Source organism: Homo sapiens, chromosome 10 (genome assembly GCF_000001405.40).
Source record: "Homo sapiens chromosome 10, GRCh38.p14 Primary Assembly".
NCBI classification, from domain to species: domain Eukaryota; kingdom Metazoa; phylum Chordata; class Mammalia; order Primates; family Hominidae; genus Homo; species Homo sapiens.
Genome location: NC_000010.11, coordinates 789,040 through 803,600, shown reverse-complemented (window position 1 = coordinate 803,600; position 14,561 = coordinate 789,040).

Below are 14,561 nucleotides of genomic sequence, written 5' to 3'. Positions count from 1 at the left end.
AGTGCAGAGCCCCGAGGAGCTTCAAGGTGAGAAAGGCCAGAGCATGCTCCCAGCCCAGGACCGCCTCGGTGCCCACACCTCCCTTCTGTGCACAGACAGGACAGGGCAGGACAGCCGATGGGAGGTGTGGAGAGGTGGGGATCATGGGCCCTACCCGTCTAGACAGCAGGAACCTAGGTGGACCCTCCACGTCTCCAGGAGAAGCCGCCTTCGTTTCCTGAACAGATGGCCCCACCCTCGTGTCCTTCGCCCGCCTGACCTCTGCTTTGGCAGGAGGAGGTATTTCCTGCCCTGTTTAGATGCCATTCGAGCCCGAAAGACCGGACCTGGAGAGACAGGGCTCGGGGAAGACTGGGTCAGGGTGGGGAGGAGACAAGCTTCACGGTGTGCTGGCCGTTCCATGGGAGGAAAACCGCCAACCCCCCTCTTGGAACTGCCATATGGGCTGCAAGATGGCTGCAGCCTGGATGCCGAGCTGGGCCTGTGGGAGCCAGCCCCACCGGGGTGCGCAGGCCTTCCTGCAGGTCAGCAAGCCGGCCGGTGAGTGCCAGGCAGACACCCCCACAGGCAAGAACCCCAGGCCCTCTTCTCAGTAAACCCAGAGAAGCTTCCAGCCCCACTCTGGAGGGGCTCCTGCAGTGTGAGTGGGAGCGTCCTGTTACCCTAGAAAAGCCCAACAGGAGACAGGGGAAGCGATTTTTGAAATATTTTATTTGACTCTGCCCAAAATAGGACCATTTCAACACAATCTATGTAAAACATGATGAAGGAGACAGTTTGTGTTGTGTGGCCGTGACTGTGTCAGACGGCACGGGGCTGAAGGGTGGTCCTGGCTGCTACAGGCCAGAGCTGTGTCCTGGGGTCTTGTGAGACCTGGGGCAGCACACCGGGTTCACGCCCCTGGAGGCCTGAGGCTCGTCATCCTTGTCCCTGGCTCACAGGCTGGAAGTTGTGGGTAGAGTGGCTAATTGCTGTGGTTCCACACTTCTGTCCTGGGGACATCGGAGTACTGCTGGCTTACTGTGCACAGCTGATCCCCAAAGGACTCTGATGTTTGCAGCCACGTGGGACGGGGTGGAGTGTTCATTTCTACATTTTATTTTGTAGGATGGCGTCTCCCTGTAGGCCAGGACCGCAGGGCCCACATTCCCACCAACGGTGTATAAGCATTCCCTTTTCTCTGCAGCTTCCCAGCATCTGTTGTTTTTTGACTTTTTAATAATAGCGATTCTGGCTGGGCACAATGGCTCACATCTGTAATCCCAGCACTGTGGGAGGCTAAGGCAGAAGGATTGCTTGAGCCCAGGAGTTTGAGACCAACCTGGGCAACATAGCAAGGCCTCGTCTCTACAAAAAATAAAAATAATTAGCTGGGTGTGGTGGCACACACCTGTAGTCCCAGCCATTTAGGGGGTTGAAGTGAAAGGATCCTTTTAAGCCCAGGAGGTGAAGGCTGCACTGTGCTGTGATCGTACCACTGCTTTCCAGCCTGGTCAACAGACCAAGACCCTGTCTCAAAAAAAACCTCAACATCTGAAAGCATAGCCATTCTGACTGGTGTGAGATGGTATCTCATTGTGGTTTTGACTTGCATTTCTCTGATGTTTCGTGATGTGGAGCATTTTTTCACATTTGTTGGTCACTTGTGTCTTCTTTTGAGAAGTGTCTGTTTATGTCTTTTGCCCATTTTTAAATTGGTTTATGTGTTTTTTGCTTGTTGATTTCTTTTTTTATAGATTCTGGATATTAGATATTTGTAGAATGCATAGTTCGCAAATATTTTCCCCTGTTCTGTAGTTTGTCTGTTTACTCTTTTGATAGTTTATTTGGCTGTGCAGAAGCTGTTTAGTTTAATTAGGTCTGTTTCAAGTTTTGTTTTTCTTGCAGTTGCTTCTGAGGACTTAGTCATAAATGCTTTGCCAAGGCCGATTTCCATAATGGTGATTCCTATGTCTTTTTCTAGGATGCGTATAGTTTGAGGTCTTACATTTAAATCTTTAATCCATCTTGAGTTAATTTTTGTAAAAATTTGTGCAAGTAGGGGTCCAGTGTCATTCTGCATATGGCTAACCAGTTATCCCAGCACCATTTGTCAAATAGAGAGTCCTTTCCCCATTGCTTATTTTTGTCAACTTTGTCAAAGATCAGATGGCTGTGTGTGACTTTATTTCTGGGTTCTCTGTTCTGTTCCACTGATCTTTGGATCTGTTTTTGCACCAGTACCATGCTGTTTTGGTTACTGTAGCCTTATAGTATAATTTGAAGTCAGGTAATATGAGGCTTCCAACTTTATTATTATTATTTTTTTGCTTAGGATTGATTTGGCTATTCCGGCTCTTTTTTTGTTCAATATGAATTTTAGAATAGTTATAAAATTTTTCATAATTTTTCTAGTTCAGTGAAAAATGATGTTGGTAATTTGATAGGAATGCGTTGAATCTATAGATTGCTTTGGGCAGTATGGCCATTTTAACTATATTGATTCTGCTGGGCATGGTGGCTCACACCTGTAATCCCAGCACTTTGGGAGGGCGAGGCAGGTGGATCACGAGGTCAAGAGATCAAGACCATCCTGGCTAACACAGTGAAACCCCGGGGGTCTCTACTGAAAATACAAAAAATTAGCCAGGTGCAGTGGCGGGCGCCTGTAGTCCCAGCTACTCGGGAGGCTGAGGCAGGAGAATGGCATGAACCTGGGGGCGCGGAACTTGCAGTGAGCCGAGATCATGCCACTGCACTCCAGCCTGGGCGACAGAGCGAGACTCCATCTCAAAACAAACAAACAAAAAAAGCAACTATATTGATTCTTCGAATCTACGAGCATGGAATGTTTTTCCATTTATTAGTGTCATCTGTGATTTCTTTCATTAGTGTGTTTTAGCTCTCTTGTAGAGATTTTTCATCTCCTTGGTTAGATGTATTCCTAGGTATTTTTTTTTTCTGGCTATTGTGAATATGATTGTGTTCTTGATTTGGATCTCCGCTTGAGTGTTACTGGTGCATAGGTTTTGGTAAAAGGCTGATGCTGGCCTCGTAAGATGAGTTAGGGAGGGGTCACGTCTCAATTTTTTGGAATAGTTTCGGTAGAATTGGTACCATCTCTTCTTTATGTATCTGGTAGAGTTTGGCTGTGAATCCATCTATTCCATGGCTTTATTTGATTGGTAGGTTACTGCTTCAATTTCACAACTCAATATTGGTCTGTTCAGTGTTTTTTTGTTTGTTTGTTTGTTTGTTTTCCTGTACAATCTTGGGAGATTTTAAGTTTCCTTTGTTAATCCAGCTAGCGGTCTATCAATCTTGTTTAGTCTTTCGAAGAACCACTGTTAGTTTCACTGATCTTTTGTATGGATTTTTGCATCTCAAGTTCATTCAATTCTGCTCTGATTTTGGTTATTTCTTTCCTTCTGTTAGTTTTGGGGTTAGTTTGTTCTTGTTTTTCTAGTTCCCCTAGGTGTGATGTTAGATTGCTAATTTGAGATCTTTATAACTTTTTGAGATAGATGTTTATCACTACAAACTCTACTCTTATTACTGCTTTTGCTGTATCCCAGATATTTTGGTATATTGTATCTCTGTTTTCATTTCTTTCAAAGAAATTTTTGATTTCTGCCTTAATTTTGTTGTTTACCCAAAAGTCATTCAGGAGTAAATTGTTTAATTTTCATGTAGTTGTGTGGTTTTGAGAGATATTCTTGGTACTGATTTCTATTTTTATTCCACTGTGGTCTCCGAGTATGATTGGCATGATTTCAATTTTGTTTGAATTTATTGAGACTTGCTTTATGGCCAAGCCTATGGTCAATCTTAGAGTGTATTCCATGTGAAGATGAGAAGAATGTATTTTCTGTGGTTGATAGGTGAAGGGTTCTGTAGATATCTATTGGGTCCAATTGGGCAAGTGTTGAATTTAAATCCAGAATTTCTTTGTTAGTTTTATTCCTTGATGATCTGTCTAATGCTGTCAGTGGCGTATTGAAGTCCCCTACTCCTATTGTGTGGCCATCTAAGTCTTTTTGTAGGTATCGGTGTACTTGTTTTATGAATCTGCGTGCTCCAATGTTGGATGCATATATATTTAGGATAGTTTTTTTGTTGAATTGAACCCCTTATCATTATGTAATGCCCTTCTTTGTCCCCCCTGCTTTTTTTTCTGTTGTTGGTTTAACATCTAAGAATAGTGACCCCTGCTCTTCTTTGTTTTCCATTTGTGTGGTAGATCTTTCTCTAATCCTTTACTTTGAGCCTATCAGTGTTGTTACATGTGAGATGGGTCTCTTGAAGATGGGTTTTGCTTTTTTATTCAATTTTCCACTCTGTACCTTTTAAGTGGGGTGTTTAGACCACTTACATTCAAGGATAATATTGATATGTGAGGTGTTGATCCTATCATCAAGTTGTTAGATGGTTGCTTTGTAGTTTCTATTGTGTGGTTGCTTTACAGGGTCTGTGGGCTACGTACTTAAGGTATTTTTGTGGCAGCAGGTATCATTATTTTGTTTCCATGTTCAGAGTTCCCTTAAGGATCTCCTGTAAGGCTGGTCTAGTGGCAATGAATTCCCTTAGGTCTTGCTTGTCTGAAAAAGTTGTTATTTCTCCATCACTTATGAAGCTTAGTTCGGTGGGAAAGAAATTCTTGGTTGGAATTTCTTTTCCTTAAGAATGCTGATAGTAGGCCGCCAGTCTCTCTTGGCTTGTAAGATTTCTGCTGAGACATCTGCTGTTAGCCTTATGGGGTTCCCTTTGTACATAATCTGAACTTTTTCTCTAGCAGCCTTTAAGATTTGTGTGTGTGTGTGTGTGTGTGTGTGTGTGTGTGTGTGTGTGTGTTGACCTTGGGCTGTCTGTTGACTATATGCCTTGGTGATGTTCATTTTGAATAGATCTCAGAGGCCGACATGGTTTGGCTGTGTCCCCACCCAAATCTCATCTTGAATTGTAGCTCCCACAATCCCCATGTGTCATGGGAGGGACGCAGTGGGGGTAATTAAATCATAGGGGTGGCTTTTTCCTACGCTGTTCTTATGATAGTGAAGAAGTCTCATGAGATCTGATGGTTTTATAAAGGGCTCCTGCACACGCTCTCTTGCCTGCCACCATGTAAGATGTGCCTTTGCTCCTCCTTTGTCTTCTGCCATGATTGTGAGGCCTCTCCAGCCATGTGGAACTGTGAGTCCATTAAACCTCTCTCTCTTTTTTTTTAAATAAATTACCCATTCTTGAGTATTTCTTTATAGCAGTATGAAAATGGACTAATATAATAAGTTGGTACCAGTAGAGTGGGGTACTGCTATTAAGATACCTGAGGCCAGGCATGGTGGCCCATGCATGTAATCCTAGCACTTTGGGAGGCCGAGGGAGGCAGATGATCATCACCTAGGTCAGGAATTTGAGACCAGCCTGGCCAACATGGCGAAATCCCGTCTCTACTAAAAATACAAAAATTAGCCAGGCGTAGTGGCGAGTGCCTATAATCCCAGCTGCTTGGGAGGCTGAGGCAGGAGAATCACTTGAACCCAGGAGGCCGAGGTTGCAGTAAGTCAAGATCGTGCCACTGCATTCCAGCCTGGGTGAAAAAAGTGAGACTCCATCTCAAAAAAAAAAAAATGTGGAAGCAACTTTGGAACTGGATAACAGGCAGAGGTTGGAACAGTTTGGAGGACTCAGAAGAAGACAGGAAGATGTGGGAAAGTTTGGAACTTCCTAGAGATTTGTTGAATGGTTTTCACCAAAAAGTCCAGGCTGAGATAGTCTCAGATGAAGATGAGGAACTTATTGGGAACTGGACAAAGTTGATTCTTGCTATGCTTTAGCAAAGAGACTGGCAGCCTTTTGTCCCCTAGAGATCTGTGGAACTTTGAACTTGAGAGAGATGATTTAGGGTATCTGGTGGAAGAAATTTCTAAGCAGCAAAGTGTTCAAGATGTTTGGTGCTCTTAAAAGCATTCGGTTTTATTCCTTCACAAAGATATGGTTTGGGATTGGAACTTGTATTTAAAAGGGAAGCACAGCACTAAATTTCAGAGAATTTGCAGCCTAACAATGCAATAGAAGAGAAAAACTAATTTTCTGATGAAAAATTTAAGCCAGCTGCAGAAATTTGTATAAGTAACAAGGGGCCAAATGTTAATTGTCAAGACAATGGGCAAAATGTCTCCAGGGCATGTTAGAGGTCTTCATAGCACCTCCTCACATCACAAGCCAGGAGGCCTAGGAGGAAAAAATGGTTTCGTGGGTTGGGCTCAGGGTCCTGCTGCTTTGTGCAGTCTGAGAACTTGGTGCCCTCTGCCCCTGCAGCCACACCTGTGACTGAACATCCAGGCATTTCCATACAACCTCTGAAATCTAGGTGGAAGTTTCCAAACCTTATTCTTGTCTTCTGTGCACCTGTAAGACCAACACCATGTGGAAGCTGCCAAGCCTTGGGGCTTTCAATCTCTGAAGCCATGGCCTGAGCTGTACCTTGGCCCCTTTTAGCCATGGCTGGAGCAGCTGGGACACAGGGCGTCAAGTCCCTAGGCTGTACACAGCAGGGGGGCCCTGCGTCCAGCCCACAAAACCATTTTTAACTCCTAAGCTGCCTTGAAGGTCTCTGATACTCCCTGGAGACATTTTCCCCATTGTCTTCGTGATTAACCAAGTGTTACTTATGCAAATTTCTACAGCAGGCTTGAATTTCTCTCCAGAAAATGGGTTTTCCTTGTCTACTGCATTGTCAGGCTGCTAATTTTCCAAACTTTTATCCTCTGCTTCCTCTTGAACACTTTGCCACTTAGAATTTTCTTCTGCCAGATATTCTAAATCATCTCTCAAGTTCAAAGTTCCACAGATCTCTAGGGCAGGGGCAAAATGCTGCCAGTGTCTTTGCTAAAGCATAGCAAGAGTCACCTTTGCTCCAGTTGCCAACAAGTTCCTCATCTCCATCTGAGACCACATCAGCCTGGACTTTCTTGTCCATATCACTATTAGCATTTTGGTCAAAGACATTCAACAAATCTCTAGGAAGTTCCAAACTTTCCCACATCTTCCTTTCTTCTGAGCCCTCCAAGTCTCTAGTAAGTTCCAAACTTTCCCACATTTTCATATCTTCTTCTGGACCCTCCAAACTGTTCCAACCTCTGCTTGTTACCCAGTCCCAAAGTTGCTTTCACATATTTGGGTTCTTTACAGCAGCACCCCACTTCCGGTACCAATTTACTGTATTAGTCTGTTCTCACACTGTTAATTAAGACATACCTGTGACTGGTTAATTTATAGAGGAAAGGAGGTTTAATGGACTTAGAGTTCTACATGGTTGGGGAGGCCTCACAATCATGCCGGAAGGCAAAGGAGGAGCAACAGCACGCTTTACATGGCGGCAGACAAGTGAGCTTGTGCAGGGGAACTGCCCTTTATAAATCCATCAGATCTCTTGAGACTTACTCACTATCATGAGAACAGCATGGGAAAACCCACCCCCGTGATTCAGTTATCTCCCAGCAGGTCACTCCCACAACACGTGGGGATATGGGAGCTGCCATTCAAGAAGAGATATGGGTGGGGACAGAGCCAAACCACATCAGAGATGTTCCCTGGATTTCTTCTATCTGGATGTCTACCTCTCTAGCAAGATTAGGGAAATTTTCTTGAGCTATTCCCTCAATTACATTTTCCAGGTTGTTTACTTTTTCTCCCTTCTCAGGAATGCCAATAATGTGTAGGTTTGGTCACTTTAAGTAATTCTGTGTTTCTTGAAGATTTTGTTCATTAAAAATTTTTTTTCTATATTTTTGTCTGTCTGGGTTAGTTCAAAAGACTGGTCTTCAGGCTCTGAAATTCTTTATTCTGTTTGGCCCAGTCTATTGGTAAAGTTTCAATTGTATTTTGAAATTCCATGAGTGTTTCAATTCCAGAAGCTCTGATTGATTTATTGTTAAGATTTCTTCCTTCATTTCCTGGGTGGCTTTAGAAGTTTCTGTGTGCTAATTTTCAACTCCGTTTTGCATCTTGTCGAGCTCCCTTTGTAGCAGGAAGAGCTGCAGACAAAACCCCTCGAAACACCGAGTTTAGGAAAGAAAGGGCTTTATTTGGCCGGGAGTGTCAGCAGTCTTATTCTCAAAAAACCAAGCTCCCTGAGTGAGCAATTCCTGTCCCTTTTAAGGGCTTACAGTTCTAAAGGGGTCTGTGTGAGAGGGTCGTGATTGATTGAGCAAGCAGTGGGTATGTGACTGGGGCCTGCATGCACCAGTAATCAGAATGGAACAGAACAGGACAGGGATTTTCACGATGCTTTTCCATACAATGTCTGAAATCTATAGATAACACAAGCAGTTAAGTCAGGGGTTGATTTTTAACTACCAGGCCCAGGGCATGGCACCGGGCTGTCTTCTTGTGGATTTCATTTCTGCCTTTTAGTTTTTACTTTTTTCTTTGGAGGCAGAAATTGAGCATAAGACAATATGAGGGTCTCCTCCCTTACCTTGAAATCCATGCCTACATATCTTACCTGTCATTTCTGAGTTTCTGTTTTGGTCAGGGACCATTGCTGGAGAGCTACTGGGATCCTCTGGAGGTGTCCCTACGTTCACATTTTTCATGGCACCAAAATTCTTCTGCTGGCTCATCTGGAGATGCTGGCACTTCTAATTTTTGTAATTATTTTCTTGCAGGTAGGATTTTTCTCTTCTTTCTCCGTAATATTATCTTTTAATCCCTCCCCCACCCCCTGGTAGGGGGCTGTGACTGTTGTGAGTACTAGGTGGGGTCTTTTGGCTTTGCCTCTAGAGCCTTATGCACTTCTGTCGGCAGGTTTTATATCGGGGTGTGCAGTTTGACCCACAAGCCAGTAGATGGTGTGTATGGGTAGGAGTGGCTGTGGCCACTGGGGCTGGGTATATCCTGGATCTTTGTTTACTGGGAGAAGCTTTCTGTTGCCTTAGGCAATGGGCTGATACTTGGAGTGCACAGAGGTCTGAGCTCCCTGCTCAGCCCAGAGGTGGGGTGGGGAGGAGGGGGTTGTAGGGGTGCAGGGCTAGACTGGACGGGTCCACCACCAGGTCCTCCGTTGGCCAGCACAATCACCAGCACCAAGGGAGAACCCAGGGGGCGGCCACTAGGTACACAGAGGTGGGCCCAGGTGTGGAGCTGGGAAACCTTCTCGGCCCCAAGCCTAACTGTGTTCTTAATTTTCAAGGTAATTTTGGCTATTCTAGGTCTTTTGTATTTCCATGTAAGCTTTAGTGGCAGCTTGTCGTTTCCTGCCGGGGTTCTGATCGGGATTGCAGGGAATCTATACACCCACTGGGTAGGACTGATATTGGGTAGGACCGACATTGGGTAGGACTGACATTGCGTAGGACCGACATTGGGTAGGACCGACATTGCGTAGGACCGACATTGCGTAGGACCGACATTGGGTAGGACCGACATTGCGTAGGACCGACATTGGGTAGGACCGACATTGGGTAGGACCGACATTGCGTAGGACCGACATTGGGTAGGACTGACATTGCGTAGGACCGACATTGCCTAGGACCGACATTGCGTAGGACCGACATTGGGTAGGACCGACATTGCGTAGGTCCAACATTGGGTAGGACTGACATTGCGTAGGACCGACATTGCCTAGGACCGACATTGCGTAGGACCGACATTGGGTAGGACCGACATTGCGTAGGACCGACATTGCCTAGGACCGACATTGCGTAGGACCGACATTGGGTAGGACCGACATTGCGTAGGACCGACATTGGGTAGGACCGACATTGGGTAGGACCGACATTGCGTAGGACCGACATTGGGTAGGACTGACATTGCGTAGGACCGACATTGCCTAGGACCGACATTGCGTAGGACCGACATTGGGTAGGACCGACATTGCGTAGGTCCAACATTGGGTAGGACTGACATTGCGTAGGACCGACATTGCCTAGGACCGACATTGCGTAGGACCGACATTGGGTAGGACGGACATCTTGACGGTATTAGGTCCTCTGATTCTCTATTTAGGTCTTAATGTCACTGTTTCACTTAATTTCAGTGTTTGGTAGTCAACATACTCAAGTCTTACACACCTTTTGTTAAATTTATCTGTAGAGATTTCATATTTTGATGTGATTTTTTCCATTGCTTAACTGTTCATTGCAAGCATATAGAAATATGGTTGGTTTTTTAATATTGAATTTATTTTCCTTCAACTCTCAGAGCTGGTTCCAAGCCTGACTTTTATTCACTGTTGCCTCTGAACACCTGGGTTGAATCTTCTACTCTCTGCATCCTTTGAACTTGTTTAAAATGTGCATGAGCAGCTGTCCCCTGCCCATTTTACGGAGTAGTGAGGGTCGAAGGAGCCCTTTGAGAAGGAAGCATTCTAGGCCTAAAGTACTAAATTGTTTACACAAATATCACAGATCCTGGTCCACCCAGGCCCTAGTGCTCGGCCAGCATTTGGTCCTGTGACAGAGCTGAGCACCAGGGGAAAGTCGGAAGAACTGTTTAAAAATGCTTAATAGCATGGTTCAAAGTTGTGTGCCATTTTTTCCTCAGACTCGTTTACTTTAAGGAAACAAAGCTATAGAGGGTGAGTGCTAGATGGGAAAACCATGGCTGTGGCTCCGTTTTTGAAGTCTGCAACATGTTACACCATTTCTTCTGGTTTCCAGCCCCTTCTCATCCCATTTATGTTTTATTTGGACTGTTTTTGATACACCAGAAATCAGTGACAGCAATAGAACAGCTGTTATCCAGCAGCCCTGACTTAATTTGACACAGCAGTGACTCAGAGTGTGGTCTTTCGGTGCAGCTATCTCCAACAATAAGCATGAAAAGAAACATTAGAGAGCTTTTAAAACACTTTTATTTTTAAGGTTTTTTTTTTTTTTTTTTTTTTCTGAGACACGGTCTTCTTCCATCGCCCAGGCTGGAGCGCGGTGGTGCCATCATGGCTCACTGCAGCCTCCATCTCCCGGGCTCAGTGGATCCTCCCACCTCAGCCTCCCGAGTAACTGGGACTACAGGGGTGCACCATTACACCTGGCTAAAAATTTTAAATATTTAGTAGTGTTCTGTTTTCTAATTCATGTTATTCCCGTGGATGGCCCAGTCCTGAGGGCCACCCCTGCCCAGTGGTGCTCAAGGCTTCACAAGACCTGACCCTTCCCAGTGAACGCTGACTATACTGGGGCCGAGCATTTGACTGCAACACAGCCAGTTCACATGCTGGTAAGCAGCCTGGGACCTATGCTTGTGAGTGAAGACTGGGCCACCAGGTCTGTATTATCAGGTGAACACCCAGAGAGGCACACAGACCCTGTGTGAGCAGACGTCGTGGTGGGAGAGGAAGGGGCCCCACACAGCTGCCCCGCACCCACAACCCTGATGGACAAGCTGTGCCCACCTTTTTGGGAGGACCGACGCCCTGCAGTCTGATCAATACCCGCAGCTCTTGGCCGTTGGCTGTGTCACAGCTGCCTGGAGGCCTGGCCCCTAGATTTCTGATGAAGAACTGACTTTGAGAACTACTGCTCTACAAAGATGACAATCCAGTTTTATTGTTGACATATCACTAGTGAGTCGGCGTGATCTGTTTGGCAACTAGGTGCCTGCACACAGGCACACATACATGCACACCCAGGTAGATGCGCACACATCTGTGCTCACTCAGATGCACACACAGGCACACGTACGTGCACACCCAGGTAGATGCACACACAGGCACATGTACGTGCACACCCAGGTAGATGCACACACAGGCACACATAAGTGCATACACAGGCACAGACATGCACACACAGGCACACACATGTGCACACACAGATGTGAACACATACATGCACACACGCACAAATACATGTACACACACTGGCAGACACAGGAATGCATGCACGCACTCATACATGTACACATACACATGCATGCACACACTCATAGATGTACATAGAGACACAGGTACACATACACGCACACAGGTGCACACATGCACACACATGCACACTCACTGGGCTGGACTGGGGGGCAGGTGTGGGCTTCAGTGCATCTGCATCTGGATCCTCCATAGCTGTTCCTGGCTCCAGGCTTGCCTGTGGCTCAGTGACTCAGAACCACCTGGGAAAACTGTAAAGCTGGGGTGCTCGGCTCCCTGGGGGTCTGGCCTAGCTGGTCCGGTGGCAGGGTTGGAGTGCACTGGGAGCTCTGCGGCAGACCCTGCACAACTCTGTGACTCGCTGGCAACAGGCTCGCCTTGTCTCGACTCCTTGCCTCGACTCCTGCCTGTCCTTCCTTCCTCTGTGAAAGGCACGTCACAGTCCAGTCCTCCTCAAAGTGTGGCCCAATCCGCATCCCCTGGGTGCTGTCAGAGCTGCAGACACCAGGCCCGGCCCTGTGCTCAGGCAAGTCCCTGAGACAGGGATGCGTGGCTGAGACGCCGACAGACACATCTCTTGGAGGCTTTGAGAAGGAGCCGATGGCTGTCCCTAGCAGAGAACGACCCTTCAACCCAGGCAGGAAGCCCATCTGAGACTCCATGTGCTGGACCCCAGTGCCTGTGCTATGGCGTCTCATCACAGACACTAGTGCGCAGGCTGGTGATACAGATGCCGCGGCCAGCCTGGAAGGAGCCGCCTTGGGGACGAAGATACTTCTGAGGACCCCTGGAGGCCTCTTTCTTCCTGGCCCCTGGCTGGCCTCACCCTTAGATGACGGTGCTGGAGGAGGGGAAGTGCAGTGCAGCGGACACAGATGGTGGTCCAGGTAAGAAGCGTCACCCCGACAGTGCCTGGGGGCCCAGCTCAGGGATGCCTGCTGCAGACCACCTTTCCTAGAAGCTCCACCTGAAAGGTTTTTTTTGAGACAGGCTCTGTTGCCCAGGCTGGAGTGCAGTGGCATGATCTTGGCTTACTGCAGCCTCGAACTCCTGGGCTCAAGTGATCCTCCCACCTCAGCCTCCTAAGCAGCTGGGACCACAGGTGCACACCACCATGCCTGGCTAATTATTTTTGTAGTACAGGGTCTTGCCGTCGAACTCCTAGCCTCCCGAAGCACTGGGATTACAGGTGTGAGCTGCCATGCCCAGCCCTGAATGGTTTTTAAGGCGTGCACACACAGTCTTAGAGCTGGATTTTTCCAAAGCCGGCTATTTCAGCCCTGCTCCACGGGCTCGTCAGGTCCCTTTGACTAGGGGTCTGTGGCTGCCAGAAACAGGTTTGGAGGCCGGGACGTGACCTCCTGCTGAGGGCTGACCAGCTTGCTGGGGAGAGACCCGGCAGGGAGACTCACTGGCCCTACAGCTTGCTGGGGAGAGACCCGGCAGGGAGACTCACTGGCCCTACAGCTTTCCCTGCAGCTGGGCCTGGCGCAAAGCAGCTCAGACTTCAGCCTCGCAGGCCACACCCCTCCCCATCGGTGACTGCTGCCCTGAGTGAGGCCGGCACACGGCCCCCTCCTGCGTTGTCTCCAGGTCTCTGTCCACTGATCTCTATCCTGGCAGCCTCTGCCCTGCCTCGCCAGTGCCTGCTGGAGGTCAGGGGGCGGCTGTGGGCCTGGGCACGTGAGGGGCAGTGACTGTGCCCGCTTGGATGTGTGCATGGAGTGGGCAGTGCAGGAGCCCAGCGAACAAGGAGCATGGGGCTGGCATTTGGCCTGGGAGGCCTGGCGCATCTTCCTCTTCCTGCCCTCAGCGCCTCTGCTCCGCTTTCTAGCCATGTCGCACTCGGGGATAAAACCGAGGACATTTGGGGAAATTCTTGGCATCACGTATTGGAAAGGCAAAGGGGTCCCAGGCTCCATCTTCGGGTGCTGTGGCCTGAACTGTGGAGCTCAGACCTCCCCACGCCCCGGTTGCCTCGTGCAGACAATTGGGCCAGGAGGGGGTTCTGCATGCGGCAGATCCAGCCACTGCCAGGGCACCCAGAACCACGCGCGCAGGTTCAGTGTCAGTGCCAGAGAAGCCCGGCCCAGCCGTCCCTGTCCGTGTGGTTGTGGCTTCAGCAGACCTGCCAGTGGCCAGTGCTGCCTCACGAGGGCGTCTGTGGCCAGGCTCACCAGAGACTGGAAAGTTCCCGGAGGACAGGGGGACGGACACCACGCCAGCTGGAGCGATCTTCTGGTGACGAGGCGGCTCCACCATCCAGTGGCAGCTCCTTGATGTTCTTACTGTCATCGTCCCCAAAAATCCCAACAGAATTCCACGTCAGGAAACAAAAAGGAAAGACACACCCGTGGCGAAGGCCCCAGCCCCACCCCCTGCCCAGATAGACAGCCATCGGCGTGCGACAGAGACCCAGGAGAGGCTCCCTTGCCCCCTGCGTCCACACTGGGTGAGCCTGCAGCGCTGGGCAGGGCACCATGGACACCTGGCGAGGAAACGCAGCGGCAACATCTGCCTGCGCAGCCTGTGGCGGGGGCTGGTGTCGAAGGGCGCATGGGCCTTGCAAAGGGGCCCCAGCCAGCGCCCCCTGGCCCCGGAGCAGAGCTCTGCAAGGTAGGACTTCCCCGCGGCCTCCCAGGGCCATGTTTGGTTTTGCTGCCATTCTGGGAAGGCTGTGTGCCTCGCAGTTGTGCTCTGGGCCGAGTTTGTCTTCCTGACC